This window comes from Homo sapiens, chromosome 6, assembly GCF_000001405.40.
Source record: "Homo sapiens chromosome 6, GRCh38.p14 Primary Assembly".
Classification (NCBI taxonomy): Eukaryota; Metazoa; Chordata; class Mammalia; order Primates; family Hominidae; genus Homo; species Homo sapiens.
The window spans coordinates 132,977,228-132,991,937 of NC_000006.12; the positions used below are offsets into that span (position 1 = coordinate 132,977,228).

The following is a 14,710-nucleotide window of genomic DNA, read 5'->3' on the forward strand; positions in this document are numbered from 1 at the left end:
AATGCCACAATTCAAAGAAAGTGATGAGACCATGAAGCAGTTTTCTTTTTTATTTTCATGGAAAATTTCGAGTACTTACACAAGTATGTTGAATAGTAGAATGAATCCCTTTGTACTCATCACTGGGCTTCAACACATAACCAGTCTTATTTTATCTCTATGCTTCTCCATCCGCTAGCGGATTGTTTTAAAACAAATTCCAGACATCATATCACCTCATCTGTAAATATCTTAGTATGTATTGCTAAAAGATAAGAAAACTTCAATGTTAAACATAGCCAAAATACCATTATTCCTCTGAAAAGTTTAACTGTGTTTCCTTAATATCATCATATATCCAGCAGTGTTCACATTTCCCTGATTGTCTCATAACTTTTTTATAGTTAGCATGTTTGACTTAGGATCTAAACAAAGTCCATGACTCATATTTGGTTGGTGTGTCTCTTCAGTTTCTTTTAATTTATAGATTTCTTTCCCCTCCTTATTTTTTGCCCTTGTCATTAATTTGTTGAAAAAACTGGGTTGTTTGTCCTGTAGTTTTTCACATTCTGGATTTTACTGATTGCATTCTTGTTTAGTATGTCCCTCTGCGTTTCTAGTAAACTGACAATATGATTTAGAAGCTTGAATAACATCAAATTTTCAAAGACTATGGGCAAAAACTAGATCTTTTCAATCTGTCACCCACATAGAAGGTAGAAAGAGTAAAGGTTAGACAGGATATTAAGAGAGGAAGTGATATGCTGTGAGTCTTCTTTCACCTTAATTCAAAAGGAAAGGGCTTTAATAAGACCCTCTCTGACCCCAGCATTGGGTCAGTATTTGGATCTAAAAAAAAAAAATTCTGAAAGATGAGTGATGGTTGGGCTAGCTACTTTAATTGTGGAGCCAAGATGAGGTAGCTCTGTTTAGATTTGCACTCCTGAAGTTTGTCAGACCAGAGAATGTGTGAGATCATCCTGTGGACCATTAAGTGTGAAACAGTGGCATAGATGATTTTAGATTCTAACAAGAAGGCTACTAGAAAGAAAGCACTGATGTCTATGGGCAGAAGAAGGAGTAAGAGAACAACCAGAGCAAAGATGAATTTGCCCTTGATAAAGGAACTTCAGGAAGAAATCAGAAGTCGTTGATGATCCTGTGGTTGTTAATAGGTAGTTCACCCAAAATCCGATGAAAACTCCCAGGAATGACTTGATTCTTGCTTACATGCCTTCAATACAATCCAAAATCATGGCCATGGACCACAAGGTGTTATCAACATTTTTACTTCAGCATCCTCCAACCTTCTTGGCTGTTCCTATAGTTTTTGCTCTATTTTATTTTAAGAAATACTTAGGTTGCTCCTTGCTTAGACATTTGGCCTTTGTTCTTGGCTCCTTGTAAAACTCTTTTTCTCAAAATCTTTGCATGACCTCTTCTAATCATTTGAGGAGCTTTCTACTCAGAAGTCACCTTTTTAGAAGGGCTCCATAACAATGATCTATAGCAATTCCTTCTGCACTTGCCCTAGCTAGACTCTATCAAGTTACTGTGCATGCTTTCTTAGTAGCACTTACCTATACCTGAACTAATGTTTAGTCTTTGGTGCTTCCCACCCCAATCCTAGACTATAAGCTCCATTATAGACAGGCAGTCTTGCCTGAATCACCAGCAGCTATGACAACAGTGCATGGTATGAATAGCTGCTTAAGAATTTTTTGTTAACTAATCCACTACAATTTTAACTTATCCTTATAGTTGAATTACATTTTAAATATTGATATCACTTCAAGCAGTGCTTTGCAAAATGTATTTAATGACTATCAAATTGATCTCTTTTGCATTTTACCCATTTCTTTAGTGATTTTCTTATTTTATTTAATTTTATCCACCCTAAGACATAGAATTTCAGAAATTGAGGAGAACAAAGTCAGCCCTCTTATTTTACAAACGAAAGAACTCAGAGAGGATAAGTGTCTTATTGAAAGGTATAAAAGATCCACTAGAGTTATGGTTTTTCCATCAAATAAACTATTTGCTATTTCTTCCATTAGTATTAGATTTGTTTTATTAACTTGATTATAAGCTTGCTGCTGACACACTGATTTATACATTTACCTAAACTTCCACAGAATCTATCCTAGTGCTGAGCATAAATGTGGTCTTCAAAAAATACAAGTTGCTTAATTGATTTATTGGAATATCAGAAGGACATTCAAAACAATTTCAAGAACAATTATTTGAAAAAAATGTGGCATTACCCAAATTCCTCCTTCAAACATTTGAATTTTATTACCATGATAATTATTTTAAGTGAAATAACATTTTCTATTCTTTCTGTTTTCATATGAATGTGTAAAGATGAAGTATTCAAGAAAACCTTTTTTCTTTTCAGAGATTTCTTTGCTATTTGAGCCATGGTTTTCCCATTTGGGGAAATAAAGGAAAACTAATTTAGAAAAATATTTTTATCAAAGGCTGTATAAAACAGCAAATGGTTTAACTAATTCTCTTCACTAAAGATGAATTTATTTTAATAAAAAGAGCATCAGAGTAAGAGTTGACCTGTAGACCTAGTTTATCCATGAACTAGTTGTGTGATGTTAGGCTTAATGCAAATTTATGTGCTTTTATTTTCTCATCCCTAGTATATCTGTGCAGAACTCAGTAGGTAAAATAAGATAATAAAAGTGAAAGCACTTTTTTGAAATGATAAAAGTCTATTGATGCTGAAGTTTCTATGTGACTGTAATGATTCCTCTATGCTGAGCAGCACAAAAGAAAAAAGTCACACTTCAGCAACTATCAACTATTTAGAATCATAGATCTCAGAGGGAAAAGGATATTAAAGGCCCCTCTCTGCTTAAGTGTCTTTTATAACAGGTTTCCTAAAGTGGAAATGTGTAGCACTGGTGGTACATGAGGTGACTTTAGATGGATCATGAGTGAATGTTTTACATTATGTGCTTATTTTAAAGAATTTTGGAAAAAAGGATAATATCAAGACATCAAACCTTTAATATGAAAGATATTACTGCTTTCAACATTAATGTATTTAAGCAAAGAAGGTATCATTTTAATTAAAAAAATCAAGACATAAATAGAAACTCATGATATAAGTCTTTAAATGACTAAAGCTTGGGAAATACTTTTTTACAACCATCTGTGAAGTATAATAGTTGCTTGGCCTCTGACAAACCAAAGATGAAAATCCCACTGCTGAACCAGGAAGCTTACTCTGTTTGGAAACCTCTGAACATCTGAAAATATTACTTTTACCAGTGTGAAATCCATCTCATTGTAGCTTCCAACATTTGATCTTGATCCTACAAATTGAGGACACCAAGAACAAGGCTAATTGTTTTTCCTCACTACAGTTCTCACTCCCTGTGGTCGCCGTACCATGATGCCAAGAATTGACAAGAACCTTTGTCTTCTACCCCAGTGTCCACCTACAGTGTCACTAACAAGGGCAGCAGGGTTGGGCTTTAATGATGCACGTTGGTAAAATTGGAATTGTTTTGGTTTCCTGACTCCCTCCAAATCTTTCTATATATTTTTATTTTGGCCAATTCTATTGGGACTGATAATTTTCTTTCTAACTTTAAAAACTTTTATAAATTGGGAGGAATTTGTAAGTTTTGAATTTGCTTACACTAAAATAGTTGTGAATGTGTTTGCTTTTCTAGGAGAGAAAGAGTCATCACAAATTTTAAAATGAGTTTTCTGTGAGATATTTTTCTCGCTTCCAAAATTACAGTTTGCTGTTTACCAAAGGTGAGCCAACTTGAGTATTTTCCCATCTCATTTTTTTCTAAACTTGGTTTACATTGGGACTTTTGTTTTCTTTCTTTTTTTTTTTCTGAAACGTTTTCTTTTCTTTTCTTCTTTTTTATTTTTAATTATACTTTAAGTTCTAGGGTACATGTGCACAACGTGCAGGTTTGTTACATAGGTATACATGTGCTATGTTGGTGTGCTGCACCCATTAACTCGTCATTTACATTAGGTATTTCTCCTAATGCTATCCCTCTCCCAGCCCCCCACCCCACGACAGGCCCCGGTGTGTGATGTTCCCTGCCCTGTGTCCATGTGTTCTCATTGTTCAATTCCCACCTATGAGTGAGAACATGCAGTGTTTGGTTTTCTGTCCTTGTGATAGTTTGCTCAGAATGATGGTTTCCACCTTCATCCACGTCCCTGCAAAGGACATGAACTCATCTTTCTTACGGCTGCATAGTATTCCATGGTGTATATGTGCCACATTTTCTTAATCCAGTCTATCATTGATGGACATTTGGGTTTTTTCCAAGTCTTTGATATTGTGCATAGTGCCACAATAAACTTATGTGTGCATGTGTCTTTATAGTAACATGATTTATAATCCTTTGGGTATATACCCAGTAATGGGATCACTGGGTCAAATGGTATTTCTTGTTCTAGATCCCTGAGGAATCACTACACTGTCTTCCACAATGGTTGAACTAGTTTACACTCCCACCAACGGTGTAAAAGCATTCCGATTTCTCCACATCCCCTCCAGCATCTGTTGTTTCCTGACTTTCTAATGATCACCATTCTAACTGGTGTGAGATGGTACCTCATTGTGGTTTTGATTTGCATTTCTCTGATGACCAGTGATGATGAGTATTTTTCATGTTGGCTGCATAAATGTGTTCTTTTGAGAAGTGTCTCTTCATATCCTTTGCCCACTTTTTGATGGGATTGTTGGTTTTTTTCTTGTAAATTTAAGTTCTTTGTAGATTCTGGATATTAGCCCCTTGTCAGGTGGGTAGATTGCAAAAATGTTCTCCCATTCTGTAGGTTGCCTGTTCACTCTGATGGTAGTTTCTTTTGCTTTGCAGAAGCTCTTTAGTTTAATTAGATCCCATTTGTCAATTTTGGCTTTTGTTGCCATTGCTTTTGTTATTTTAGTCATGAAGTCCTTGCCCATGCCTGTGTCCTGAATGGTATTGCTTAGGTTTTCTTCTAGGGTTTTTATGGTTTTGTGTTTAACATTTAAGTCTTTAATCCATCTTGAATTAATTTTTGTGTAACGTGTAAGGAAGGGATAAAGTTTCAGCTTTCTACATGTGGTTAGCCAGTTTTCCCAGCACCATTTATTAAATAGGAAATCCTTTCCCCATTTCTTGTTTTTGTCAAATCTCAGATGGTTTGTCAAATATCAGATGGTTGTAGATGTGTGGTCTTATTTCTGAGGCCTCTGTTCTGTTCTATTGGTCCATATCTCTGTTTTGGTAACAGTACCATGCTGTTTTGGTTACTGTAACCTTGTAGTATAGTTTGAAGTCAGGTAGGGTGATGCCTCCAGCTTTGTTCTTTTAGCTTAGGATTGTCTTGGCAATGTGGGCTCTTTTTTGGTTCCATATGAACTTTAAAGTAGTTTTTTTCCAGTTCTGTGAAGGAAGTCATTGGTAGCTTGATGGGGATGGCATTGAATGTATAAATCATCTTGGGCAGTATGGCCATTTTCACAATATTGATTCTTCCTCTCCATGAGCATGGAATGTTCTTCCATTTGTTTGTATCCTCTTTTATTTCATTGAGCAGTGGTTTGTAGTTCTCCTTGAAGAGGTCCTTCACATCCCCTATAAGTTGGATTCCTAGGTATTTTATTCTCTTTGCAGCAATTGTGAATGAGAGTTCACTCATGATTTGGCTCTCTGTTTGTCTGTTATTGGTCTATAGGAATGCTTGCAATTTTTGCACATTGATTTTGTATCCTGAGACTTTGCTGAAGTTGCTTATCAGCTTAAGGAGATTTTGGGCTGAGACTATGGGGTTTTCTAAATATACAATCATGTCATCTGCAAAGAGGGACAATTTGACCTCCTCTTTTCCTAATTGAATACCTTTTATTTCTTTCTCTTGCCTGATTTCCAGAACTTCCAACACTATGTTGAATAGGAGTGGTGAGAGAGGGCTAGTTTTCAAAGGGAATGCTTCCATTTTTTCCCCTTTCAGTATGATGTTGGCTGTGGGTTTGTCATAAATAGCTCTTATTATTTTGAGATATGTTCCATCAATAACCTAGTTTATCGAGAGTTTTTAACATGAAGGGCTGTTGAATTTTGCTGAAGGCCTTTTCTGCATCTATATTTGATAATCATGTGGTTTTTGTCTTTGGTTCTGTTTATGTGATGGATTATGTTTATTGATTTGCGTATGTTGAACCAGCCTTGGATCCCAGGGATGAAGCCGACTTGATCGTGGTGGATAAGCTTTTTGATGTGCTGCTGGATTCGGTTTGCCAGTATTTTATTGAGGATTTTTGCATCGATGTTCGTCAGGGATATTGGTCTAAAATTCTCTTTTTTTGGTGTGTCTCTACCAGACTATGGTATGAGGATGATGCTGGCCTCATAAAATGAGTTAGGGAGGATTCTCTCTCTTTCTATTGATTGGAATAGTTCCAGAAGGAATGATACCAGCTCCTCTTTCTACCTCTGGTAGAATTTGGCTGTGAATCAGTCTGGTTCTGGACTTCTTTTGATTGGTAGGTTATTAATTATTGCCTCAATTTCAGAGCCTGTTATTGGTCTATTCAGAGATTCAACATCTTCCTGGCTTATCTTGGGAGGGTGTATGTGTCCAGGAATTCATCCATTGCTCTAGATTTTCTAGTTTATTTGCATAGAGGAGTTTATAGTATTCTCTGACGGTAGTTTGTATTTCTGTGGGATTGGTGGTGATATCCCCTTTATCATTTTTTATTGCATCTATTTAATTATTCTCCCTTTTCTTCTTTATTAGTCTAGTCTTGCTAGCAGTCGATCAATTTTGTTGATCTTTTCAAAAAACCAGCTCCTGGATTCATTGATTTTTTGAAGGGTTTTTTTGTGTCTCTATCTCCTTCAGTTCTGCTCTGATCTTAGTTATTTCCTGCTTTCTGCTAGGGTTTGAATGTGTTTGCTCTTGCTTCTCTAGTTGTTTTAATTGTGATGTTAGGGTGTCGATTTTAGATCTTTCCTGCTTTCTTTTGTCGTCATTTAGTGCTATAAATTTCCTGCTACACCCTGCTTTAAATGTGTCCCAGACATTCTGGTACGTTGTGTCTTTTTTGTCATTGGTTTCAAAGATCTTTAATTCTGCCTTCATTTTGTTATTTACACAGTAGTCATTCAGGAGCAGGTTGTTCCGTTTCCATGTAGTTGTGCAGTTTTGAGTGAGTTTCTTAATTCTGAGTTATAATTTGATTGTGCTGTGGTCTGAGAGACAGTTTGTTGTGATTTCTATTCTTTTACATTTGCTGAGGAGTGCTTTACTTCCAACTATGTGGTCAATCTTGGAATAAGTGCGATGTGGTGCTGAGAAGAATGTATATTCTGTTGATTTGGGGTGGAGAGTTCTGTAGATGTCTATTAGGTCTGCTTGCTGCAGAGCTGAGTTCAGTTCCTGGATATCCTTGTTAACTTTCTGTCTCGTTGAACTGTCTAATGATGACAGTGGGGTGTTAAAGCCTCCCATTATTATTGTGTGGGAGTCTAAGTCTCTTTGTAGGTCTCTAAGGACTTGCTTTATGAATCTGGGTGCTCCTGTATTGGGTGCATATATATTTAGGACAGTTAGCTCTTCTTGTTGCGTTGATCCCTTTGCCATTATGTAATGGCCTTCTTTGTCTCTTTTGATCTTTGTTGGTTTAAAGTCTGTTTTATCAGAGACTAGGATTGCAACCCTTGCTTTTTTTTGTTTTCCATTTGCTTGGTAGATCTTCCTCCATCCCTTTATTTTGAGCCTATGTGTGTCTCTGCATGTGAGATGGGTTTCCTGAATACAGCACACTGATGGGTCTTGACTCTTTATCCAATTTGTCAGTCTCTGTCATTTAATTGGAGCATTTTTCCCATTTACATTTAAGGTTAATATTGTTACGTGTGAATTTAATCCTGTCATTATGGTGTTAGCTGGTTATTTTGCTCATTAGTTGGTGCAGTTTCTTCCTAGCCTTGATGGTCTTTACAATTTGGTATGTTTTTGCAGTGGCTGGTACTGGTTGTTCCTTTCCATGTTTAATGCTTCCTTCAGCAGCTCTTGTAAGGCAGGCTTGGTGATGACAAAATCTCTCAGCATTTGTTTGTCTGTAAAGGATTTTATTTCTCCTTCACTTATGAAGCTTAGTTTGGCCGGATATGAAATTCTGGGTTAAAAATTCTTTTCTTTAAAAATGTTGAATATGACCCCCACTCCCTTCTGGCTTGTAGAGTTTCTGCCAAGTGATCTGCTGTTAGTCTGATGGGCTTCCCTTTGTGGGTAGCCCGACCTTTCTCTCTGGCTGCCCTTAATATTTTTTCCTTCATTTCAACTTTGGTGAATCTGACAATTATGTGTCTTGGAGTTGCTCTTCTCGAGGAGTATCTTTGTGGCATTCTCTGTATTTCCTGAATTTGAATGTTGGACTGCCTCACTAGGTTGGGGAAGTTCTCATGGATAATATCCTGAAGAGTGTTTTCCAACTTGGTTCCATTCTCCCCGTCACTTTCAGGTACACCAATCAGAAGTAGATTTGGTCTTTTCACGTAGTCCCATATTTCTTGGAGGCTTTGTTTGTTTCTTTTTACTTTTTTCTCTAAACTTCTCTTCTCACTTCATTTCATTCATTTGATCTTCAATCACTGATACCCTTTCTTCCACTTGATCGAATCGGCTGTTGAAGCTTGTGCATGCATCACGTAGTTCTCATGCCATGGTTTTCAGCTCCATCAGGTCACTTAATATCTTCTCTACGCTGTTTATTCTGATTAGCCATTCGTCTTATCTTTTTTCAAGGTTTTTAGCTTCTTTGCAATGAGTTCAAAATCCTCCTTTAGCTCAAAGAAGTTTGTTATTACTGATTGTTGAATTCATCCCTTTACCATTATATAATGGCCTTCTTTGTCTCTTTTGATCTTTGTTGTTTTAAAGTCAGTTTTATCAGAGACTAGGATTGGAACCCCTGCTCAGCAATGGCGGATGCCCCTCCCCATGCCAGGCTGCTGCCTCGCAGATCGATCTCAGACTGCTGCACTAGCAGGGAGCAAGGCTCCGTGGGCATGGGACTTGCCAAGCCATGTGCAGGATATAATCTCCTGGTGTGCTGTTTGCTAAGACCATTGGAAAAGTTCAGTATTTGGTTGGGAGTGCCCTGTTTTTCCAGGTACAGCCTGTCATGGCTTCCCTTGGCTAGGAAAGAGAAATCCCCCAACCCCTTGCACTTCCCGGGTGAGGCAGTGCTCCGCCCTGCTTCAGCTTGCCCTCTGTGGGCTGCACCCACTGTCCAACCAGTCCCAGTGAGATGAACCAGGTACCTCAGTTGGAAATGCAGAAATCACCCATCTTCTGCATTGATCACGCTGGGAGCTGCTGAGTGGAGCTGTTCCTATTTGGCCATCTTGAAATGGACCCCCCCCGGGACTTTTATTTCCAAGCTATGTCTCTGCTATCATTTCTTTGGAGATGTCAACTATATTAAGAAAAAAGGAGGAGAGTTTAACTTTTTAAAAATATAAAAATATGTTGACATATTTTATTCAAAATCATATTTGCCTGAAACTTCTGAGGTTTTATGAACATAGCAGCTTCTCATTTCTTTCCATGTGTGAAAAGGAACTAGAGTAGAAGAATAATGCAAAGGAACAAAGCCACTAAGAGTTACTACCTTCTGTCCATTTCACTGTCCAGGTGAGAGGAGCAGCCTGATTGGAGAGGCACAGTTGATGCCCTGTGACTGGAGCACATGGAGAAAGACCAAAGTTACAAGAGATGAAATTAAATGGCTTATTTATGTCTAACTCACATAGACTTACAATATCATCATAATTCTGCCAATTTTGTGGCTGTCCCGATGAAAGGAGAGCTGACCAACTTCCCAAGAAAAACCCACAGGCCATGAGGGACCTCTAATAAACATCGACCTCTTGTGAGTTTTTCTAGTGGAAGTGAATTTCTCCTCTGGGAATACTACTTTATATTTTTATTTTTATTTTTTTGAGACGGAATCTTGCTCAGTTGCCCAGGCGGGAGTGCAGTGGCACAATCTCAGCTCACTGCAACCTCTGCCTCCTGGTTCAAGCGTTTCTCCTGCCTCAGCCTCCTGAGTAGCTGGGATTACTATTTTAAGTAGAAAATCTGACTACTACGAGAGGATTTTCTACTAAACTTATGACCACAAGAACAAGAAAGTTTATTGTGTTGCCATTGTAACTGGGGTGAATTTGTGTTGCATCCCAGAAGCCCAACCATAGAGTCTAGCTGGGATGGGATGCAAGGTAAATGGGGACTAGAAAAAGATGGCGGGGGAAGGAAGCTTGGACACTGACTTGGCTAAACGGACTGGATCCCCAAAGTGAGTAACAAGTACTTACATGTGCACTGTACAAAACAGGGGAGTGAACTTGGACTTGACTCCAGCAGATGCTAGTGTCATAGGTTAGTTAATTAATTGATGGGGCAGATCATGGGAATTGGTGATACATTGCATCAGCCAACCAATGACACTGTGTATCTGGGAGTGATCAATCTGTTTAAAGTGCACCTTCACACACACCTGTGAGGAAAAACAGGAAGGGAGCCAGATGAAGGTGGGAGAGCCATCAAGACTGTAATGCAAGTCAGTCCTCGGGTGAAGGAAAGAAGAGAGGAAGCAGGGTTGGGTGGGAGCCTCTTAGATTGCAGTGCCCAACCATCAGGGAGTCCTGTAGCTGAAGTCAGCCATAAGTGAAGTCCAAAATTGCTCAAGGATTGGCCTGCCTTAGTATTTCTGCTGCACCCAGTTATTGGCTGGGGAGCACCCTGTGGGAATATTGGCCTTGGCAAAAACACAGTAATGGATTCTAGAATGTAGCAACTGGGGCCATCAGTCAATTACCTCCTGGAAGGCAGAGATCTGAGGGGTGTATTTTCATGGCCACTAATACATCTGACTTCTCTTCCTCCTACACTCTTCTTGGCTTAATCCATCCCAGCCTTTCTTGTCTTCTCTGGTGTTCCCTGAACATGCCAAATGTGCTCCTAACTCAGAGCTTTTGTAGTGGCTGCTTCCAGGACTTCCATTAGCCTAAAGGTTGTCTTTGTGAGACTCAGGAAAAGGTGCCCCTTTCTCAAGGCAGACTCTTACATGGCTACCCTGGGCCTGTTCTCCTGGCCTGGCACACTGTTCTCTCAGATATTTGCAGTGTTGGTTCTGTCGCATCCTTCAGGTCTTTGCAGATATTGTCATTTTAGTTACACTTTTCTTTACCCTATTTTAAAATAGTCCTCTCCATGAAACACACATAATTTCTCTTTCCTGCTTTACTTTTCTCCATGAAACTTACCCCTTCTGATATGCTATATATTTCCTAATTTATTCTATTGTTCTTTTCACACTAACGTAAAGTCTTTCCATGAGGGCAGGTTTTTATTTTTTTTTTAATGTTTTTTTTGCTGCTTTATCTGCAGAATCCAAAAACATGCCTGGAACATGGTAAGTACTCAAATATGATGGATCTTCATAAATTTCATGCAAAATGGGTATTCTGAAAATACTATGCATAGATTTCAAAAACTCTTGCACCCAAATAAACTTGTACTAACTTGTTATAACATGTATAAACAGGATCTAGTTTGAGTCACTAAGAAGGATAAGATGTTGGTTTGAAAAGAACCCGTAATAGAGCAACGTGAATTCTGCTAAAACTAGAGCAAGAACAAACATCAAATTTATGGTGAAACTTGGTTGGGCAAATGGTGAAATCACTGGTGCTTAATGAAAAATTTATGGGAACAGTGCCCCAAGGAAATCAGAAGTATACAAATGTATAATTCATTTTAAGAAGGTGTGAGACAATGTTAATGACAAAGCCTGCAGTGGCAGACCGTCCACATCAGTTTGTGAGGAAAAAAATTTATCTTGTTCATGCTCTAAAGAGGACTGATGATTAACAGCAGAAACAATAGCCAACACTGTAGACATCTCAATTGGTTAAAATTTCAATGGAATTTTTAAACAAGTAGCATCAAGATCCTTGAGCATTTCTTCAAAGTATTGTAACAGGAAATGAAACATGGTTTTACCAGTACAATTCTGAAGACAAAGCACAATCAGAGCAATGGCTACCAAGAGGTGGACGTGGTCCAGTCACTGCAAAAGTGAGCCAGTCAAGAGCAAAGGTCATGGCAAGAGTTCTTTGGGATGCTCAAGCCATTTTGCCTGTTGGCTTTCTGGAGGGCCAAAGAAGGATGATATCTGCTTATTATGAGAAAGTTAGCCAAAGCTTTATTTGAAAAACATTCAGGAAATCTTCACCAGAATCCTTCTCCACCATGACAATGCTCCTGCTTATTCCTCTCCTCAAAAACGGACAATTTTGTGAGAGTTTCAATGAAAAATTATTAGGCATACAACTCATCGTTCTGATTTGATCCCTTTTGACTTCTTTTTGTTTCCTAATCTTTAAAAAGTTGTAAAAGGCACTCATTTTTTTTTTCAGTTAATAATGTAAAAAAGACTGCATTGACATGGTTAAATTCCCAAGACCCTCAGTCCTTTAGGAATGGACTAAATGGCTGGTATCATTGATTACAAAATATGTTGAACTTGATAAAGTTTATGTTGAGAAACAAAGTTTATAGTTTTTATTTTTACCTTTTAATTCCATTTTCCCACAAATTTTTTGATGTCCCCTTATATTTGTTGAATTTCCTTTTAAATACTTCTTGCTACTTGTCTTTGTCCCTAGATCTTTTCTTTTCCTCTTAGCTTTATTTTACCTTAAAACTTTGGCTAATCCAAAAGTTTTGGCTAATCCAAAAGTTTTGACTACGGTTTCTTCATGGCTTTTACTCTTTCTATTAAATGTCTATAGGCTTCCTCTGAGCTTTGCTTCTGCTTCCTACAACCTGAATCTCTTCATATTTTATGGTTCTAATTAGTAAAACAGCCTGTCCAAACTTATTTCTATTTTGGGGCACATTTTTTTTTTTTTTTTAATCAGGCCACTATACAGCTGCAGGCCACTGGTCAACCTATAAAACAGCTTTCATTGGATTCCACACTTAGACTCCCTAGCCATGTCAGAGAATTCAAACCATGGTTACTCAGGGCTATCTGCCCTCTCTCCCCTAGGTGAAGCAGATACCTAACCTCTGTAGGTGTTAAAATTATTTGTTTAGTTTTGTAAGATATGGAAATAGGATCTAAGTTGGATATCAAAGATCTTCAAAATGTGTTCATCTGTATTATCTGTTCCCAACCTACATTTAGTTCATTTATTTTTTTAAAATGTCCCTTATACCATGTAATGGCTAGGCACCCTGGTGGGAGATCTAAGTTTCTATAATTGATTGCCATCCCTTGTCAATTATATTTCTGAAAAGTTTCTTGGATATACATCTATCTCTGGATTCCCACATATGTTTCCTTAATTAGATTTCCTCAGACTTAACTTCTCACTTCTATATATATTCCACACCTTTACCAGAATATCTTTTAAAATACTAATGCAACCAGGTCACTTTTCTCTTCAAAATCCTTCCATGGTAAATACTGCAGTTAGACAAAATAAATAAATAAAATGTTAAAATAGTTGAAAAATAAGAAATAGGTAAATCACATGATTGTACAATTCAAATCCAAAAGCATCTTCAAACAAGGTAACAGAAATAAGTAAATTTAATACAATTGTTAGATGCAAGATAAACATACAAAGATCAGTTATTTTGATTATTACCAAGAAACAGTGGAAAAAATTGTAAAATTAATTAATTCCATAGTAGCATCAAAAAATTAAATAGTTAAGAATAGATTTAATGAAGGATGCATATTATCTCTACACTGAGAATTATAAAACACTGCTGAGAGATGAAAGGAGACCTAAACAAATGGTAAGACATACCACTTTCAAGAATTGGAAGGCTCAATATTGTTAATATTTAAATTCTCCCCAAACTGATCTATGGAATCAACATTGTTCCAAATGAAATCCCAATGTGTGTGTGTGTGTTGTGCATGTGAAAATTGTCAATTTGATTTTAGAATTATACATAATTGCAAAAGTCTTAGAAAGTACAAGACAATTTTGAAGAAGAGAAACACATTTGGTGGATTTATATTACTGTACTTCAAGATTTACTATCAAGATAGTATATATAGGTGCAACTAAAAAAAAACTAACAAAAGACTCAATGGAATAGAATATAAAAATCGAGAAGTAAACCCACACAAATATGGCCACTTACGTTCCAGAAAGATGTGCATCATTGCAATATGGAAATGATGGCCTTTACAGTAAATGATGCTATAACAATTGGATATCCATACAGAATAAATGAATCTTTAGCCCTATCTCTGATCCATATCTCACACCATACACAAAAATTAATTTGAGATGGATTATAGACCTAAATATATGAATGATAAGACAAAATTTATAAAGTAAATTTTATAGGAAAATATGTTCATGACCTTGGCATAGGCAAAAATTTCTTAAGAAGGACATGTAAAGCACCATCCATAAAACAAAAAAATTTTGATAAATCTGACTTCATTTAAATTAAGATCTCATGTTAATAAGACACCCGTGGAAGAGTGAAAAGAGAAGTCACAGATTAGACGAAGGTATTCACAATGCTTACATGGAACAAAGGACTCCAATTATATTCAGAATAAGTAAATAAAGCATAAGTAAAAGATGAACAACATATTAAAAAAATAAGCAAAGACTTGAACAGACCCTTCAGAAAAGAGGATATC

At 37.1% G+C, this 14,710-nt stretch overlaps 1 annotated feature.

Moving 5' to 3' along the window:
- Positions 9,931-11,130: an enhancer, noted in NCBI's record as "BRD4-independent group 4 enhancer chr6:133308297-133309496 (GRCh37/hg19 assembly coordinates)". NCBI's record gives its function as "activates an origin of replication core promoter dependent on BRD2, P300/CBP, MED14 and CDK7 cofactors, and independent of BRD4, by STARR-seq in HCT116 cells {active_cell/tissue: HCT116}" and the evidence as "EXISTENCE:reporter gene assay evidence [ECO:0000049][PMID:35650434]".